Source organism: Homo sapiens, chromosome 5 (genome assembly GCF_000001405.40).
Source record: "Homo sapiens chromosome 5, GRCh38.p14 Primary Assembly".
Lineage (NCBI taxonomy): Eukaryota > Metazoa > Chordata > Mammalia > Primates > Hominidae > Homo > Homo sapiens.
In genome coordinates this window covers 124,741,394-124,758,079 of record NC_000005.10, presented here as the reverse complement: position 1 = coordinate 124,758,079, position 16,686 = coordinate 124,741,394, and the positions used below count along the sequence as shown (strand labels likewise).

Below are 16,686 nucleotides of genomic sequence, written 5' to 3'. Positions count from 1 at the left end.
AAACGAATATTATGATCCCTATCAACAAACCACCAGTCCCAATAATGGCCAGCTTTATGTCATTTTTTAACCTCACTCTGCCACCTATTGTGGTAAGACTTTTCCTTGGTTCAGCTAACAACAGGGTCCTTTTCCGTCCCACGGCCATGAAAATTTAGGTTCCCAGATGGTTTGAAGGGTGAGTGAAGCAGGGTTTTATTGGGTGAAAAGGAAGAAAAGGGGGAAACAAGGACTCTGGCAGATAGAGTGCTGCTCACCAGCAGCTTGGATCCCAGGTTCCACACAGGAAAAGGTAAGGCAAGGTTCCTCCCTGCTGCAAATGTCCTGAACTTCACGTTGGTGAGGCTCCATCTCATTGGGCAGGCTGGTTGGAGTTTCTCCAGGGACCCCCTCCCACCTGGCTGCCTCACTATTATGGGAATATTTCTTAAATGTTTAAAATTTTTCTCAGATCCAAAGATGTGACCAAAAACTTTTTTTTTCAATTAAGTGATAAGAAGAAAATTGATTTTTAAAAAATATCCTGAGTATAAGGACCAGAAGTGATACAATTTCTCGCAGAATTTGCATGTATCTGATCAAATGTGCCATATCTTCAGTTTGGCATAGAGTTGTTCTATGTTGGAAAAAAGTTAGCACATTGCTTGTTAACTGCATTTCTTTCAGGAAAAGAAGTCCTTGGTCACCTGTTAATGTTCCTGCACTCAACAAAAAGAATGGCAATGTTGTCTGGAGTTTTGTTCTTTTATAATAGTCCTGGTGCAGTGGTTAAGCATACAGGCTTCCTATATTAAATCTTGGCTGGACCAAGATTTGGCTGGAAAATTTAGACAAATTACATGATTTCTGTGTCTCAGTTTCCTCATTCTGATGCTAATACTACTTATTTCACTTGCCTGCTATGAAGATTAAATAAATTAATACATATAAATAATTAAGAAGACTTTTTGGAACATAGTAAATCACACATGTATTTCCTACTATTATTCACTTGAATTACAAACCTATTTCAGGCTGGGCGTGGTGGCTCATGCTTATAATCCCAGCATTTTGGGAGGCCGAGGCAAGAGGATCCCTTGAGCCCAGCAGTTTGAGACCAGCCTGGGCAACATAGGAGACACCCTTCTTTACAAATATAAAGAAACTAGCTGGCTGTGGTGGTGCATGCCTGTGGTCCCAGCTACTCAGGAGGCTGAGGTAGGATTGCTTGAGCCCAGGAGGTTGAGGCTGCAGTGAGCTTCGATCATGCCTCTGCAATCCAGCCTGGGTGACAGAGTGAGATTCTGTCTCCAAAAATACAAAACAAAACAAAACAAAACAAAAAACCCCGACAACAACAACAACAACAACAAGCTTGAAAGAGTTGTGCATCCTTAATACACTATAGGAGTGTTAACTTCCTTTTTTTTTTTTTTTGAGACAGAGTCTCGCTTTGTTGTCCAGACTGGAGTTCTGGAGTGCAGTGGCATGATCTTGGCTCACTGCAACCTCTGCCTCCCAGGTTCAAGTGATTCCCCTGCCTCAGACTCCTGAGTAGCTGGGATTACAGGCAGCTGCCATAATGCCCAGCTAATTTTTGTATTTTTAGTAGAGACGGGGTTTCACCGTGTTGGCCAGGCTGGTCTCGAACTCCTAACCCCAAGCGATCCACCTGCCTCGGCCTCCCAAACTGCTGGGATTACAGGCGTATGCCACAGCACCCGGCCAAGAGTGTTAATGTTTAAAACATCTTTTAAAATTACAAATAAAAGGCAATGTTTTAATTATGAAAAAATACATTGTCTCCTTTACCTGAAAGATTACTTTTCAGTATTAAAGGTTTTTTAATTTAATGTTTTGACTTGTAAATATCTCAATAAAATTCTTTTTGGGAGACATTATGTTTAGAATTATAAAAATTAAAGCATATGTTTGTTCATTTAACTTTCATGGGACCCCTCTAAAATCCAAAGACACATCATTAAAACCCAAATAAACAGAAAACATTAAAATATGGTTAGAAAACATGTTCTCGTATATTCAACTCTATTCTTAACAGATCATTACATTTTAAAGGTGTTTGCAAGAAAATACAAGGTGCTTCCTTAAATGATTTTAAGAATCTTAAAAAAGAGGACAGAAGGACAGAAAGGAAAAGAAAGGAAAATAAAAGATGATTAAAATATTCATAGTAGAAAAAGGTCCACAGAGCAGTCTGGCAGGCAATGCATGTGATGAGCTGTAGAAACCTTAAACATCCTGGACCAGAAGTCAGCCAATCAGGGGGCTGAGAACCACATTTCCATAATGATGATTGGCTGGTGGACTGGAGGCACCGCTGAGCTGTGAGGAAGGGGAGGAAAGGCTCTGCTGAGAAAATAGCAAAACAACTTTCTGGCTTTCTGTTGTTTATTGCATATTCTCCAAATGATTGTAGTGATTCATTCTTTAGGAAAGCTTGTTTTGAAAACAAAAGAGGCACAGTTGTTCACAACAAAAGTGATATTCAACAGCCAAAGGAGCCGAGTATAACGGAACTCTTTTATTCTTCTTTAAAATAAACTTTGGTCTCCTGATTTCATCTAACCAAATATGTTAAGACTTCCCAGGTGATGCATAAGGGTTGGATTTAAATATTAAAATTAGGCAGGGGTTACTGTTTCTGATAAGTATCACTGCTTTGTTCTTCTGTCAGCTTTAGAAAATGTGCACAAATAGAATATATTTTTATAAAATGTGAAAAAAATCCTTAAATTCTAGCATCAAAAGTATATTTAGTGCTTTCACACTTGAGGGAATTATGCCACTCTCCAAAAAGAAACTAATTTAGGCATTTTGTTTTCCTGCAGTCATATATGTGTGAAAGTTGGAGATACATGTATCAATGTGTTTGGTATTGCTCTCAATTTTTACACATATGTAAAAATCTACTGTCATGAAGTCATAAGGATTTTAAAAATGACAAAAGAAGAAGCAGAGAAATGGAGGCAAAGGAGAAAGATGGAGTGGAACGTAATGGCTGGATCCTGCTGCCTCTTGATCTTCCTGTGCTTGATCGTATTGCATTTTGTTGTAATTGTTTTGAATTCAAATAGAGCAGTGACAACATTTCACCTACAAGTTTTTAAATTTAGTTTTACAAACACTGTATCTACGGGCCATCTATCTGGAAATGAGAATAACTCTATAATGCAGATTAAGCAGAAGTATTTTGCAGTCTCTCCCAGTGACTATTCCTTGGCTAGCTAACAGACCAGCCATTCAGAAGCAATTTTCTTCAGGCTGAAATTATGTGCTGACCTTAGCAGATCACTTCCCATAATAACCCTTCCCCCACCCAATGCTAAATACAATCTGTCTCCTACTCACTGTAATAACGTGCAAATGACTGTAATTTTACAGACAAGAAACAGCCGAAAGTGAAACGTGTCTAAACAGAGGTCGATTTGAAAAATCAGGGCTATTACCTAAATCTGTAAAATACATATTGTAATAAAACCAGCAACAGAAATCTCCAATAAGTAGTTCTTTTTTTTTTTTTTTTTTTTAATGTAGCTTGTGTTTTGATCTTCTTTATGCAGCCAGTCTCTGCTGGCATAAAAGAAAAATCCTTTTCCAGAAATGGTTTCATTACACGAGATGTAAATTGCCTTACTTTGCTAACTGATCCTCAGACCTTGCTTGAGCACCCACTCAGATATAGCTGCACACACCACACCACAAAAGCCCGAGCCAAGCGGAGGTACAATTTCAGATACTTAACACTGACCTACATTGCACTTCTCTTAATGAGAGCAGTATACAAATGTTTTCCTTTAAAGATCACATTGTTTTGCCATATTTTGCTAGGTTCTCTAGAGCTGCAAGGCATAAAAAAGACAATTTGCTGCTTTTTATTTTGATTATTTTAAGATGGAGGATTAGAGACTATATGAGGAATTACATAAACATAGAGGGTTTATAAGTATATAAAGTTCTTCAACTTTATATTGCTTTACTAATTAAATGCATTGTAGTCTTAAATAAATTCACGTAATATTTGCTCTATATCATCGCAACTTGTTTAAGGTAAACTGTATTGTAAAGACATGTCAAGACAGTTATTACTTTCCCTCCCTTGGGTGGAGGGTCTTTTTGTTATACTCTAAGGAATTTAAACTGAAGGTGAATTAATAGGGCATAGAAGTATCTTGAAAAGTTAACATAGCAGAGTAATACGATGTGTGTAAATAGTCGTATTTACAAAATGTATATTGGAAATGTCCCACAGTCTTTCATGGCAGGGAGAACATTGTTGATGTTTTTCTTCTCTGAGACCCTTCATGCTCCCCAAAAGGACCTGAAATGTTATGGTGTGCAGGGGCCCTTCTTTCCACGGTAGACAAGGCTCTTAGTGCTTTGTCTTGTTCCAGTGATATTTCAGGATAATGCAAAACGTCAAATGTTTGACCAAGAACAACACTGCTCGTCTCCTTTTGGCAACAGTTATCCAGAAATGGATATTTTTGTTTTTTTAAAAAGACAGGGTCCGGCTCTGTTGCCCAGGCTAGAGTGCAGTGGCGTGATTATGGCTCACTGCAGCCTCGACCTCCTGGGCTCAGGTGATCCTTTTGCCTCAGCCTCCTGAGTAGCTGGCATTATAGACCACCTTGCCTGACTAGTTTTTTTGATTTTATATAGAGACGGGGTCACCCTATGTTGCCCAGGCTGGTCTTGCACTTCTGGGCTCAAGGCATCTTCTCACCCCAGCCTCTAAAAGTGTTGAGATTACATGCATGAGTCACCACATCCAGCCTGGGAAATGGATATTGTTTAAAGTACTACCCAGAAACTTAAATTGGATTTAGCATGCAGGTGTGAAAAAGTAGAGACAGTGTTTTTTCTAGAGGACCTTTAGCAAGTCAGGATGTTACCTGTAGGGAAAAAAAGCAAAGACCTTCTTGTGTTTGTGTGGGTGTTTAATAAGTCATCAACTGTATTCCCTAGAAACCAGGGCAGGACACCTGCCCACTGCCTTGAGGCCATCCTGTTGATAAGCAAACCCAGAGAGATAAGAATCTTTCTCCATAATCCTCTGGGATAGCCAGTAAGTTTCTCATTATGTCTAAATTAAGTTCTTTTTCCTATAAATTAACCCCATTTCCATGTTGGTTTCATTTTTTATAACTTTGTTTTCCACTTTTTCCCTTGATCCTGAGTAGATCTCAAGTGTCAATGTTGGCATAAATATAGAAAAGGTAGGCCTAGGAATAGACTCCCTTACAAATACACAAAAACTGGAGAAATAGATATATATTTAGACATGTTCTCATTCTGTTGCCCAGACTGGAGTATAGCAGTATGATCATAGCTTACTGCAGCCTCCAACTCCTGGCCGTTAATGATCCTCCCACCTCAGCCTCCAGAGTAGCTAGGACATAGGCATGTGCCACCACGCCTGGCTAACTTTTTAAAAATTTTTTGTAGCCGAGCACGGTGGCTCACACCTGTAATCCCAGCACTTTGGGTGGCTGAGGCGGGAGGATCACGAGGTCAGGAATTTGAGATCAGCCTGACCAACATGGTGAAACCCCGTCTCTACTAAAATACAAAAATTAGCCAAGCGTGGTGGCGCACACCTGTAATCTCATGTACTCAGGAGGCTGAGGCAGAAGAATCCCTTGAACCCGGCAGGTGGAGGTTGTAGTGAGCTGAGATGGTGCCACAGCATTCCAGCCTGGGCGACAGAGTGAGACTGACTCAAAAAGAAAAAAAAAAAGAAAAAAAAATTTTATAGAGACAGGGTCTCGCTATGCTGAGCAGGCTGGTCTTGAATTCCTGGTTTCAAGCGATCCTCCAGCCTCAGCTTCCCAAAGTGCTGGGATTACAAGCATGAGTCACTGGGCCTAGCCCAAGAAATAATCTTTGATCTTTAATAATATACCCTAAATCAGAGGAAATAGGCACCAAAGAAAGATCACCATGTTTTCCTGTGTTACTGCTAGAAGCCCCTGGCCTCCTCAGCATTGAGATCGTCTGTCTTTAAAAAAGGAGGAAAGGGACCTTTTGATGACCTTAACAATGATGTAGTACAAGCAGGGGCAGAGCTGATCTTGAGATCCAAGGAGCGGGTAGTGGAGGTTGTTGGAGGGGGATGATACTGTTTTGTTTGTTTGTTTGTTTGTTTGTTTTTGAGATGGAGTTTTGCTCTTGTTGCCCAGGCTGCAGTTCAATGGCGCGATCTCGGCTTGCTGCAACCTCTGCCTCCTAGGTTCAAGCAATTCTCCTGCCTCAGCCTCCCGAGTAGCTGGGATTACAGGCATGCACCACCACGCCTGGCTAATTTTGTATTTTTAGTAGAGATGGCGGTTTCTCCATGTTGGTCAGGCGAGTCTCAAACTCCCGACCTCAGGTGATCCGCCCACGTCGGCCTCCAAAGAGCTGGATGATACTTTTTAAATGCCCCTTTTACACTATCCTCATGCTCCTTCCACCCCTCTGTTCCAAATACTCATTTCCTGACATCTCCTCCTTTCTACCACATCTCTGAGTAGACACTAAGGTGTAAAATTACATAGTGCTTATATTATACAGTAGTGTATTGATATTATGAAGTATATGCATGTGGATATTAGAATGGTGACAAATAGGTTCCTAGTTACCTTGATGAGAGATTAAGATAACATTTTCATCTCTATAAATACAGAAAACTTCCCAATTTTGTGAGAGGAGTAGCTCTGATTTTCAAAACTGGTAGTTAATTGTCTTAGTTTCAGTCATCAATTAGCTGATGGTCCTCTGATGCCTTTTGATTGGCCCCTTTGTCAAACAAAACAAAACAAAACAAACACAAGAAAAGCCAGTCTGACAACACTGGTTTATTCAAAAGTCTCCTGGAAGAACCTGGGAGGAAGGAGGTGGGGGTGGGGTGTAAATGGAGTGTGGAGATGTTGGAATGGAAGGAAATACTTTAATTTATCAAAATGGTTTGGGTTAAATATGTGGTAGAGTCGGGCCTAAGCCTTCATCTTGGGCCAGTAGGGTTTCTCAGAAAGGTTTAAGGTTTGGGTTTAAGTGTTGAAGCTCGGGTTAGATTAGATTATTTGATTATTACAAACCCTAAACTTTGGTTTTAGTTAGACTTCATCTGTGCTGCAGACGCTGTAATTTGTTTTGTATTGGAGGAACTCCAATCTTCTCCAGCTTCACTAGGTCTCATTTTTAAATGTCCCATTCTTTTAAGAACTACCTATATATTATTTCCAAACTAATATAACATATGGGGTAGGCATGGGCTTCCAAAGGCTGAGATGTAGATGACACCCCAGGGACACAGGAAGTGCCCAAGAGTGATCTGATCCTTTGAGAAATCACTCTTTTAGAAGAAGAAAAGTTAAAAAACAGTATGGTGCTGTATTCTTATCAATGGGGCATACACAAATGTAAAATCTGTATATTCAAAAATATAAAACAAATCTCAAAGCTAAAATGGAGGCTAGGTAGATATCAGATCCCTAATTTGCCCATTTTATTTGTTAAAGTACAGCTTTGATTTGAATACAAATTGACTTAGGGAGAGCTAAGGACTAGTACAGATTGCATTCCTCTGGTTTATATGTCCCAATAAAGGGTGGAAACTGCTGTTTATTACTATTTGCAGCCTCAAATCTAGTTCATTTATGGTAGTGAAACAGCTAATTGGCAATTTTTTTATGGACTAAATATATTGAAAGCTCAAACATGAGTCAATAGCCATTATTTAAAATATGTGACATAAATATTTTTATTGATCCACGAAGTCATCACTGAATATTTACATCAGAAGCTGTCTTCTGCTAGCACTCATTCACTTTACATGTCCATATGACTCAGTTAAGACACAACCTTAAATTACAATTGTCACGTGGAAATTACAATCCCAGTAGTACTGGATCTTTAAAACTTGGGATCATGATGCTTTCAGTTTACAGTAACCTTTGACTTTCAAATGTCCATATTGTAGCTTCTAAAAACAATGAAGGTAACAATAAAAAATTAAAAATTAAATGTACTCTAAAGGCTTAATATATGTAAATACATTAGCTTAAATATGTTAGCTGTTATAGTAAAATGTTAAACTTGTTATTTCATATTAACCTCTCTTATCCTATGAGCTGAGTCTCATTAACTTGGTTGCTGGCATTTGTCCTACAATAAATTCTAAAATATTTCTGTGTTTGTGGATTGTAGATGTAGCATTCAGAGGATTCATGATGCCCCCTTCCCCACCAGTGGGGTTAAAGATATGGGGGAAGAGGAATTCTGACCCTTCCACAGTTTAAATACGTGTACTGGGACTGTTTAACAGTTAATCTTCCTAGTACATTTAACTTTCATAAGTCGATTTTTTAAAAGATGAGGCTGGCCCGAGGTGTTACTATGTTTAGCTGGGGCCTTATTTTAATATTAAGTTTTTCTTTTTTGGAGTCACATAACACCAGGTGGAAAAGATTTGTTACTAATTCCAGGGAAGAACCATTCACATAGTGTTGGTTAAATGGTCGCCTGCGTTCACACTTCAGTGCCTGTAGACCAGAGCCCTGGAAACAAAAGGGTTACTTGTTTCCCCACCATCGCCTTTACCCGCAGATCGATTTTTCTTATTTAATCAGCGAGTAAAAAGAGAGACACAGGGAAGAAAAAAAAAAAAAACTGCAGGAAGGGCAAAGTGGTGGGGGGAGGGTTGAAAGCCAGAAGCTGCAATACAGAAAATCAGTCTTGGGAGTTGGGCTGCGAAGTCCTTGGAACAAGGAAGGGAAGCCGGCAAAATGCTCGCAGTCAGTTCCACACAGCCAGCCTCCCTTTTCTCTTCGCTACGCGCTAGCGGCTCGTTTGGCTTCTCTCTGCCACCGAGCGATCACATACATTATTTCCCCCAAGATAACACAATCAAACTTGTATTTACCGACATCCTCTCCTCGCAGCCTGTTTGAGATTTGTTTTAATAAATAAGTGTTTTATGTGAATGATGTAGTAATTGAAAGGGGCGCACCATTTTTTTGCCTTCTTACTGCGGGAGGTTCCTCAACCCCAATCTGGTTGGAAAATAAAACGCTTTGTCTCCACAACCACCCCCCACAGCACCCCCACCCGCTCTCAGTGTGTGTTTTATACGTGTGTATATCTCAACCCCCTACAGTAGCCAAGAGAAAGCAGCTAGCCAATGAGAGAGCCCAGTTTCATAAAAGCTGCTCTCTGATTGGCCCGATGCGAAAGGGCACTGGGAACAAAGAAAAGTCCCTTTCAGGTATAGAGGCTGAGAGCTTCTTTTGCTCCACTCCCCCTGTGTGTGTGTTGTGTTTCAGTCCTGATTTAGTGTTGCAGAACAAGCTTGTTGTGTGTGTGCACCAGGGGGATTTTTGTTTTGCTTTTTTTAAATTTTAATTTTTGCTTTTATAAAAAATACACAGGACGGTCTGTGACATTTGATGGTCCATCTTCTTTAATAATAAATTTGTTGAAGAGATTATAATTTCCAAAATAAAGCGGCTGCAACCAAACACATTCAATGCAGTTAGAAGGAAAAGGTCAACTCGATCCAATACAGACCGTAAGTACGGTTGCGTGGTGTGTCTCTATATAGCACTTAGCGGGGACTTCATGCAGGGGAATGTGCGAGTTTTATGCATAGAAATGAGGAACTAGTTACAGGGTTTGGCTTTTGCATTTAGAACAACAACCCAAGAAGGGTGAATTTTATTCAGTGGAGGGTGAAGCATTTGTAACTTCACACAAATTAAGCTTGACTGGGCACTCGGGGTAACTTAGAGGAAATTAGCTTTTGGGCTCTAACCCAAAGGAGAATAAAAGTGACACAGTTGCATATCCTGGTCTGCAGTGTCAATTCTCTAGCTCACCTTACTCCCTCCCTCTTCTGTCCTAGCTGGGCAGACCCCCCTCCCAAAGCGATCCAGGAAAATGGGGGCAAGGGCAGAACAAGCCGATTTCTGTCTCCTGTCAGATCCCAGTGCCCGATAATTTAATATTAAACAAGGGAATAGTCACTCATTACATGTAATGGTTATAATTACCATTCGCCATCTCCTTAAAAAAGCAAGCAACAAAAATACCATTAAGAGAAAAAATAAAAGCCCCACCCAACCCAAACAAACCCACAAATAGTAACAATGGTGTATTTATTACAGGACCAGGCTGGGGAGCAAGCAAAAGGTTTTTCTTTGTTTAATACATGAAGTGGGGGTCCCTAAAATCCAAGTAGCTCGGAGATACCCTTCTCCCTCCCCCAGGCGTCCCCGTCCCTGGCCCCTTGGGAAAGCCGACAAATTGGAGATAAGTTGAGGAAAGGTTTATAAAGTGTTTCTTTAAAACATCTGCTTTGCTCTTGTGCTCATTACATTTCGCTCCTTCCGAACTTCGGAGATCCTAGATCTCCGAGAAATGTTTCACATTCATAACTTGTAGCTTCGCCCACTGCGGGGGGGCGGGGGGAGGAGGTTGGGGGAGTGTGTGCAGGGGGAGGGGAGAGACTTTCAGCTTTTTTTTTTTTAAAGACCAGATCAGTATTTTCTTGATACGCTTGTCACCATTTTTGTTCTCACGACAACCAATTGAGCCCTTGATCCTCACGTGATGTGAAAGGCTTGCACTGTAACAAAATCGCTCCTTTTAGATGGTTGGTTGTTACTAACTCGCCCATCCCCCTCTCCCAGCCCCGACATTTCCAGCAAAGCGACTCTCCACTTCCAATCCATCAACAATTCATTACTGCTTTTAGCTTCCAAACGCCAGCTAATTAAAAATACTAAGCCAAGCTCCGGGGCCATCTGACTAAACACAGGAGGGGCTGGGCGAAGGGAGAGGAGAGAAAAAATAAATAAAAGGGAGACACACCGTTTGCTGCGAGTATAAGAGGGAAAAACTCCCGAAAAGGGTCGCCTTAAAAAAAAAAAAAAAGAAAACAAAAACCTTATTTTGACTCTAATTATCGAATTACCACATGACTGGCTGACCTGAGCGACAGAGGATTCCACTCCCCTCGGGAGCTATACTAGGAACTCAGTTCCTTTTTCTTAAAACAACATAAGACAGGAAAACATCACATCCTTTAGGTTTCGAAGACTGAGCCCATTTTAAACGCCGTTATTTTCCCCACCCCACCGCCCCAAGCCCCCCGCCCCCCGCCCCGAGCGAATGCTGTTATAACTGGTTTATCAGCTCACTGAATCATCTGCTGTCTCCTCCTCCACACCTTTCTTTTTCTCCTCTTGCCCAGTTTCTCATCCCACCCTTTCTTCTCCTCCTCCTCCCTCTACTCCCCCCCTCCTTTTCTCTTAAGTTAGTTCAAGAAATCAAATCTGTCAGGACGGGCGGAAAAATGCCACTTCCCGACTAACAGGCGGAATCCAGCCCAGATTTTCAGTCCTTTCTTCTTATTCTTTCTTCCCTTTCACTAATTTATCCCGATGTTAGCACATTCTGTCTCGTTACTAGCGGACGCCTGTAGGTTTGCTACATGGGATCATTACTGATCACGGTGACTCTGAAGTCTGGAACTGAAGGCGGAATGAGAAGTTGGGAAAACTTTTTTCTCTAAACTCTCTGTTTTTTAAAAAACTATTATTCTCGATGCTTGTTAAGAGGAAAAAAAAACCTTTGGTGCTTCTGTTGTGAATGTGAAACATTATTTTCCAGCTGTACAGTGACACATTTTTTTTAAGGAGAAAAGGACTGATTCGTTTGCCAAAAGGGGGGTGGGGAGGTGGAATAATGTTATCGAGTGATTATTCTGGCTGAGATGTGTTATTTGGTTTCTTCCTTCTTGATCATTTGGTGTTTAAGTAAAATGAGGCACAGGCTTGTTTGCCGAGTGGAGTGGGAAAGGCATTTTGATTTGCTGGCCTAATTAAAAAATGATAAAGGATTAAAAGGTAAGCAATGTCTGTGTGTGTGTATGTGTGTGTGTATGTATATTTATTTATTTTTTTCTTGACAATCAACTGTTAAAAAGGGGCTGATCCCTTTAAAAACCGTTTTAACTGCTCTTTGTCAAACACACTCATTTGCGGTCATTGAGGCCACCTTGGCGCAGATCACTTAAAGTGTATGTCTTAATCAGTTTTCTGTACAGTCAGTAGCACCGTATTTAAGAGAGTGAGCAATTCTCTGACCTAGGAATATGGTAGAATTGTTTAAATGTATTTTTTTCTCAAAAGGCAGGTATTTAACTTTTTATATAACACTGTCTTTTCTAGAGAGAAATGCTCTTAAAAGACATGCATATTTCAAAAAAGAAATTGTAGAAGCTGTTTGGGAAAAGAGGATAGGAGGGAGGTATGTGTGTGTGTTGGGGGCAGTTATTGGTTGTTTTTTCTGTTCCTTACTAGGAACAAAAAACAGATTGCCCAGACAATTTGTAAAAAGAAGTACTGAAACCTAAATTAGAAATAAGGAAAATTTAGCAACATTCTATTCTGAAAACTAGCCTCAGAACTTCCAGGGTCTGGTCTTCTAAATTGCAAGATCTAGGACATGTTTAGGGATGTTTAAAGCTGTGTTCTTCCTTCTTGTCTGAGTGTTCAGGCTGTGTTTCTGGGGTTGAGATATCACATGTGCCAGACTGAAATCCTAAACTTTAAAAAAGAACACAAAAACCTTTCTGGACTTGAATCAGATCCTTAAGATAATTTAATGCTTTTAAAAAGGTGATTATCCTTGTGTTGTTGATAAAGGGATTTTCTTTTTAGCTACCGTAAGATGCTTACTGTCATAGGTTTATTTTTCGGGTTTGGTTATTTTCCTTTAAACCTGATATTGGACTGTGAGGACAATACATGAGCCACCTTACTCTCCATCCTTCCCTGTCCCCTTTACTGATTCCCCAATACTAATCGTTTTTTATTCTGGTAACACCCAGACAAGAAATATTCGACTTTTCCCCCCCCCTTCACAGGAAAAGGTGGACCTGGACTGAGGGTGTAAAATCCCTGGACACATTCGTGGGGCAGGAAAAAGAAGAGGAAGATTAGAAGATTTTTTTTTTCTTTGAGAGAAAGCCCAGCGGAGATAAACGAATGTCCCCTCATCTCCAAAGAAAAGTTCATCGGATTTTTATTCTAGAGAGCTCATCTTCAGGATGTCAGTGAACATTTCTACTGCAGGAAAAGGTGTGGATCCAAATACAGTTGATACTTATGACAGTGGCGATGATTGGGAAATCGGGGTTGGAAATTTAATAATTGATTTGGACGCTGATTTGGAGAAGGACAGACAGAAATTTGAGATGAATAATTCCACCACCACCACTAGTAGCAGCAACTCCAAGGATTGTGGAGGTCCGGCCTCCAGTGGGGCTGGTGCTACCGCAGCCTTAGCTGATGGCCTAAAATTTGCTTCTGTTCAGGCCTCTGCTCCCCAGGGGAATTCACACAAAGAGACCAGCAAATCAAAAGTGAAAAGGAGTAAAACTTCTAAGGATGCTAATAAATCTCTGCCTTCTGCTGCCTTGTATGGGATTCCCGAGATCAGCAGCACTGGCAAGAGGCAGGAAGTCCAAGGGCGCCCTGGAGAGGCAACTGGCATGAATTCAGCGCTGGGTCAAAGTGTGAGCAGCGGCGGCAGCGGCAACCCAAACAGCAATAGTACCAGCACCAGCACCTCTGCCGCCACCGCGGGGGCAGGCTCCTGTGGGAAAAGCAAAGAGGAGAAGCCAGGTAAAAGCCAGAGCAGCCGAGGCGCCAAGCGGGATAAGGATGCGGGGAAATCCAGGAAGGACAAGCACGACCTGCTTCAGGGCCACCAGAATGGCAGTGGCAGCCAGGCCCCTTCCGGGGGGCACCTCTATGGCTTTGGGGCCAAGAGCAATGGAGGTGGCGCGAGCCCCTTCCACTGCGGGGGCACTGGGAGTGGCAGCGTCGCCGCTGCAGGGGAAGTTAGCAAAAGTGCCCCGGATTCAGGGCTCATGGGAAACTCTATGTTGGTAAAGAAGGAAGAGGAGGAGGAGGAGAGCCACAGGCGAATCAAGAAACTGAAAACTGAGAAGGTAGGATAAAGTCGCCTTCCTAGATGTCCTACTCTCCTCTGTGTGCATTTGTGTGGGTGTGTGGGGGTGTGCCTCTGTGTGCCTTACACTTTATGCTTTCTGGTTCTTTGTGAGATTTCTATGATATGCATCCTTTATATTAAAATTTGATATGGGGGAGCCTACTTGGGTGCAGTGTTTGGCTCTTGCTTCTGCTGTCCTTGCTGCTGCTGCTGCTGCTGCTGCTGCTTGTGATGCTAGTGTTTGGGTTCCCAGGTGGGAGGGCCTGAGTGTTCTAAGTACCTTTTGCCCTGTAGATCGGTTCCTCACTAGTCAGCAGGTTGCCGTGTGCTTTTAATAGAAAACCTGCTCATGCACCCTCTTGACTCTTGTCCTGCTTTCTTCCTTAAGGGGAACAGTTTTCTATTTTAATTTATTCATCCTAGTATTGCGGGTAATGTGTCCTTAGGTGCAAGGTTCAAGTTCCCTCCCTGGAGAGGAATGTCGAGGATTCGAATTTACATTCTACAGACCTCATCCCTTTTATTTTTTCTTACTGTCTCCAAAATAGTACTGTGAAAGGATATCCTTGAATGAGTTCTTGTTATTGGTCCTGAATGAAACCCCAAGCTTGATGTGTTGGGTCATTGGTTTCATAACTGCAGAAAAACTCGATGGTTTTGGTGGCTGTTAGCACTCTACCCCTGTTCCCTCACCCAGTTCTTAGCTAGAGATTTAAGAGTGTTATCACTTGGATACCTGACTGGGGAGCTGGACGGCTGCTAAGAAGAATAAAACAGACTTGCTGGACTGATACTCGTGAAATGTGAAAATGTAGCCAAAGGGGATGTAGACGGTTGAGTGAATTGGAATATAGAATTATGTGCTGCATTTAAACGGTGTGGATGGTTGATTTAGACCATTTGGACCCTTCTCCCCTTCTTTGTACAAGTCTATAGTTAGACACTGCCTTGGAAGAACTGCCTGCCCCGACACCCACACCATGTTTTGCTGCTTAGTCATAGACCACATTGACTAATGTTTGGGAACAGAAGGTGTTCTGTCCACTAGGCAGGTTGGGAAGGAGTTAGGGGTGTGTGTGTGATATTTCTATGAAATTAATCTTCATATTAATTCTACAGGTTGTGCCTTGCAGAAGCAAGCTTTCTGTCATGTGGGTTGTGGCATGGTTGTTGGGGAACATCCTTATTAAATAATTTTGATTTTTTTTTGCTATAGTTGGCGATTGGGATTGTAAGTGGTGATAATATGTCTTTGGAGAATTATTTCTGTGTAAAATGGTTCACTGCTACTTAAACTTTTATATTCTTGTTTTTGTGTTCAGGATTTAAGTTGGAGTATAGGAGTAAAGTTTTGATTTTTAAAAGTTGATAGAGGCACATTAAGGTGTAGATAATGCCAAATTTGCAAAATGCCTCCAAACGCTTATAAATTCATATCCTCTTGGTCAGGTACATTAATGAATATAAATGAATTTTTGAAAATTCCGGGTTTTGAGTCTTATATTTAAATGTGTAGTTTCACATTATTTCCGCTAAAAGGTGTTCTGAAATCTTCTTATTACTTAGTACAGTAGGGCATTTACTTTTGTTGCCAATAGTCTTCAAATTGCAGTTCTAATCTGCTTTAACTATCTAGATGAATTGCCCTAATCCAGTGCTCACAATGGCTGTGGTTAAGGAGTCAGAGCCATTTGATTGGATTCACTGGCTGCTTGGAATGTGGGAGGTACTGCCCTTTTGCATTCCCCTTAGCCTTTTAATCTTCCAGCCAAATGTTCACATTCAACAATTTTGTTTAGCTGGCAATCGGAACATTTCAGTATCTAAAAGGCTGCTGTCATGGCAACTGAGATTAGAGCGTGGTGTCGTTTCTCCAGTTTTTGTGTGTTCTTTTCACTTTCCAGTCACAGAGGAAACTGGGTGAAGAATGGAAGAATTAAATTATTCATATACATGCAACTCATCTTCAGTTAGAGCAGTATAAATGTGATAAATATGAATTACATAAATGAAGAGCAAACAAGTCATGGTGGATCTGGGGTGGGGGAGGGAAGAAAGCACACTGCAATTTAGATTCACTTCTGATCCTATACCAGAGGAAGCTGTGCCACCAATCTTAGCCACTGGAGTTGGCACAGGGGCCCCTCAAAGGCTTGGATCCAGGGGCTTGGATCCTGTAGTGTTGGCCATTCTCTGTCAAGTTGGGCGTTGGCTCAGGATCTCAAACATTATTCCTTAAGGCTTTCCTCCCCACCCCCACTTCACCCTGAGAATGACTTCTCTTAAGAATGCTTTCATCCTTGGCACACAGAAATGGCACTCCCTTGCATGAATGCCACCCAGGAAAGTAACTCTAATTCCACTAACTAGTGGTTGCATCAAATTAGGCATCAATTTAGAAAATGCTTCCTACTGATGTGAGAATACCTATTTAGAAAGTAAAGATTTAGTAGGACCAGAAGCTTCACCTGAAAAAATATTTCAACACTGAGGTTTTTTGACATTTTATACAGTGTTTTAATTTCCTTCAGCCTGGCTTGATTATCTGAGTTTGTGAAGAGTAAGTGCCTGGAGAGTGAAGATTATTAATTTTCAGCAATCAGATGTGGCTCGTGAGGGGCCACATGTGAAAACCAAAGGGGGGAGTGTATGTGTGTGTGCATTTTTTTTTTTTTTTTTTTTTTTTTC

The 16,686-nt window shown here is 41.2% G+C and overlaps 1 protein-coding gene across 7 annotated transcripts in view, besides 12 other annotated features; it reads left to right on the top strand.

The window, feature by feature from the left end:
* Positions 6,312–6,910: an enhancer, noted in NCBI's record as "OCT4-NANOG-H3K27ac hESC enhancer chr5:124086863-124087461 (GRCh37/hg19 assembly coordinates)". NCBI's record gives its function as "activates a minimal SCP1, AML or CMV promoter by ChIP-STARR-seq in naive and primed H9 embryonic stem cells {active_cell/tissue: H9 hESC(naive and primed)}" and the evidence as "EXISTENCE:reporter gene assay evidence [ECO:0000049][PMID:30033119]".
* Positions 9,084–9,323: a silencer, noted in NCBI's record as "silent region_16278". NCBI's record gives its function as "represses an Ori minimal core promoter by ATAC-STARR-seq in GM12878 lymphoblastoid cells {active_cell/tissue: GM12878}" and the evidence as "EXISTENCE:reporter gene assay evidence [ECO:0000049][PMID:35858748]".
* Positions 9,084–10,201: a biological region, named in NCBI's record as "NANOG-H3K27ac hESC enhancer GRCh37_chr5:124083572-124084570".
* Positions 9,203–10,201: an enhancer, noted in NCBI's record as "NANOG-H3K27ac hESC enhancer chr5:124083572-124084570 (GRCh37/hg19 assembly coordinates)". NCBI's record gives its function as "activates a minimal SCP1, AML or CMV promoter by ChIP-STARR-seq in primed H9 embryonic stem cells {active_cell/tissue: H9 hESC(primed)}" and the evidence as "EXISTENCE:reporter gene assay evidence [ECO:0000049][PMID:30033119]".
* Positions 9,256–16,686, top strand: part of ZNF608 (zinc finger protein 608) — a 111,910-nt gene continuing 104,479 nt past the window's right edge. For 4 of the 7 annotated variants that reach the window (NM_020747.3, NM_001385620.1, XM_011543520.4 and 1 more), the window contains exons 1-2: positions 11,441–11,885; positions 12,908–13,996. In NM_020747.3, coding sequence (NP_065798.2) covers positions 13,091–13,996 — 906 coding nt within the window. In that variant the 5' untranslated portion in view covers positions 11,441–11,885; positions 12,908–13,090. Of the gene's footprint in view, positions 9,548–11,175; positions 13,997–16,686 lie in introns of those variants that run through there. The other 3 variants (NM_001385619.1, NM_001385621.1, XM_047417447.1) reach the window with 3 other exon arrangements.
* Positions 10,202–11,200: an enhancer, noted in NCBI's record as "OCT4-NANOG-H3K27ac hESC enhancer chr5:124082573-124083571 (GRCh37/hg19 assembly coordinates)". NCBI's record gives its function as "activates a minimal SCP1, AML or CMV promoter by ChIP-STARR-seq in primed H9 embryonic stem cells {active_cell/tissue: H9 hESC(primed)}" and the evidence as "EXISTENCE:reporter gene assay evidence [ECO:0000049][PMID:30033119]".
* Positions 10,329–10,508: an enhancer, noted in NCBI's record as "active region_23017". NCBI's record gives its function as "activates an Ori minimal core promoter by ATAC-STARR-seq in GM12878 lymphoblastoid cells {active_cell/tissue: GM12878}" and the evidence as "EXISTENCE:reporter gene assay evidence [ECO:0000049][PMID:35858748]".
* Positions 13,149–13,842: an enhancer, noted in NCBI's record as "H3K27ac-H3K4me1 hESC enhancer chr5:124079931-124080624 (GRCh37/hg19 assembly coordinates)". NCBI's record gives its function as "activates a minimal SCP1, AML or CMV promoter by ChIP-STARR-seq in primed H9 embryonic stem cells {active_cell/tissue: H9 hESC(primed)}" and the evidence as "EXISTENCE:reporter gene assay evidence [ECO:0000049][PMID:30033119]".
* Positions 13,240–13,309: an enhancer, noted in NCBI's record as "active region_23016". NCBI's record gives its function as "activates an Ori minimal core promoter by ATAC-STARR-seq in GM12878 lymphoblastoid cells {active_cell/tissue: GM12878}" and the evidence as "EXISTENCE:reporter gene assay evidence [ECO:0000049][PMID:35858748]".
* Positions 13,940–14,009: an enhancer, noted in NCBI's record as "active region_23015". NCBI's record gives its function as "activates an Ori minimal core promoter by ATAC-STARR-seq in GM12878 lymphoblastoid cells {active_cell/tissue: GM12878}" and the evidence as "EXISTENCE:reporter gene assay evidence [ECO:0000049][PMID:35858748]".
* Positions 14,070–14,149: an enhancer, noted in NCBI's record as "active region_23014". NCBI's record gives its function as "activates an Ori minimal core promoter by ATAC-STARR-seq in GM12878 lymphoblastoid cells {active_cell/tissue: GM12878}" and the evidence as "EXISTENCE:reporter gene assay evidence [ECO:0000049][PMID:35858748]".
* Positions 14,540–14,589: an enhancer, noted in NCBI's record as "active region_23013". NCBI's record gives its function as "activates an Ori minimal core promoter by ATAC-STARR-seq in GM12878 lymphoblastoid cells {active_cell/tissue: GM12878}" and the evidence as "EXISTENCE:reporter gene assay evidence [ECO:0000049][PMID:35858748]".
* Positions 15,233–15,927: an enhancer, noted in NCBI's record as "NANOG-H3K27ac hESC enhancer chr5:124077846-124078540 (GRCh37/hg19 assembly coordinates)". NCBI's record gives its function as "activates a minimal SCP1, AML or CMV promoter by ChIP-STARR-seq in primed H9 embryonic stem cells {active_cell/tissue: H9 hESC(primed)}" and the evidence as "EXISTENCE:reporter gene assay evidence [ECO:0000049][PMID:30033119]".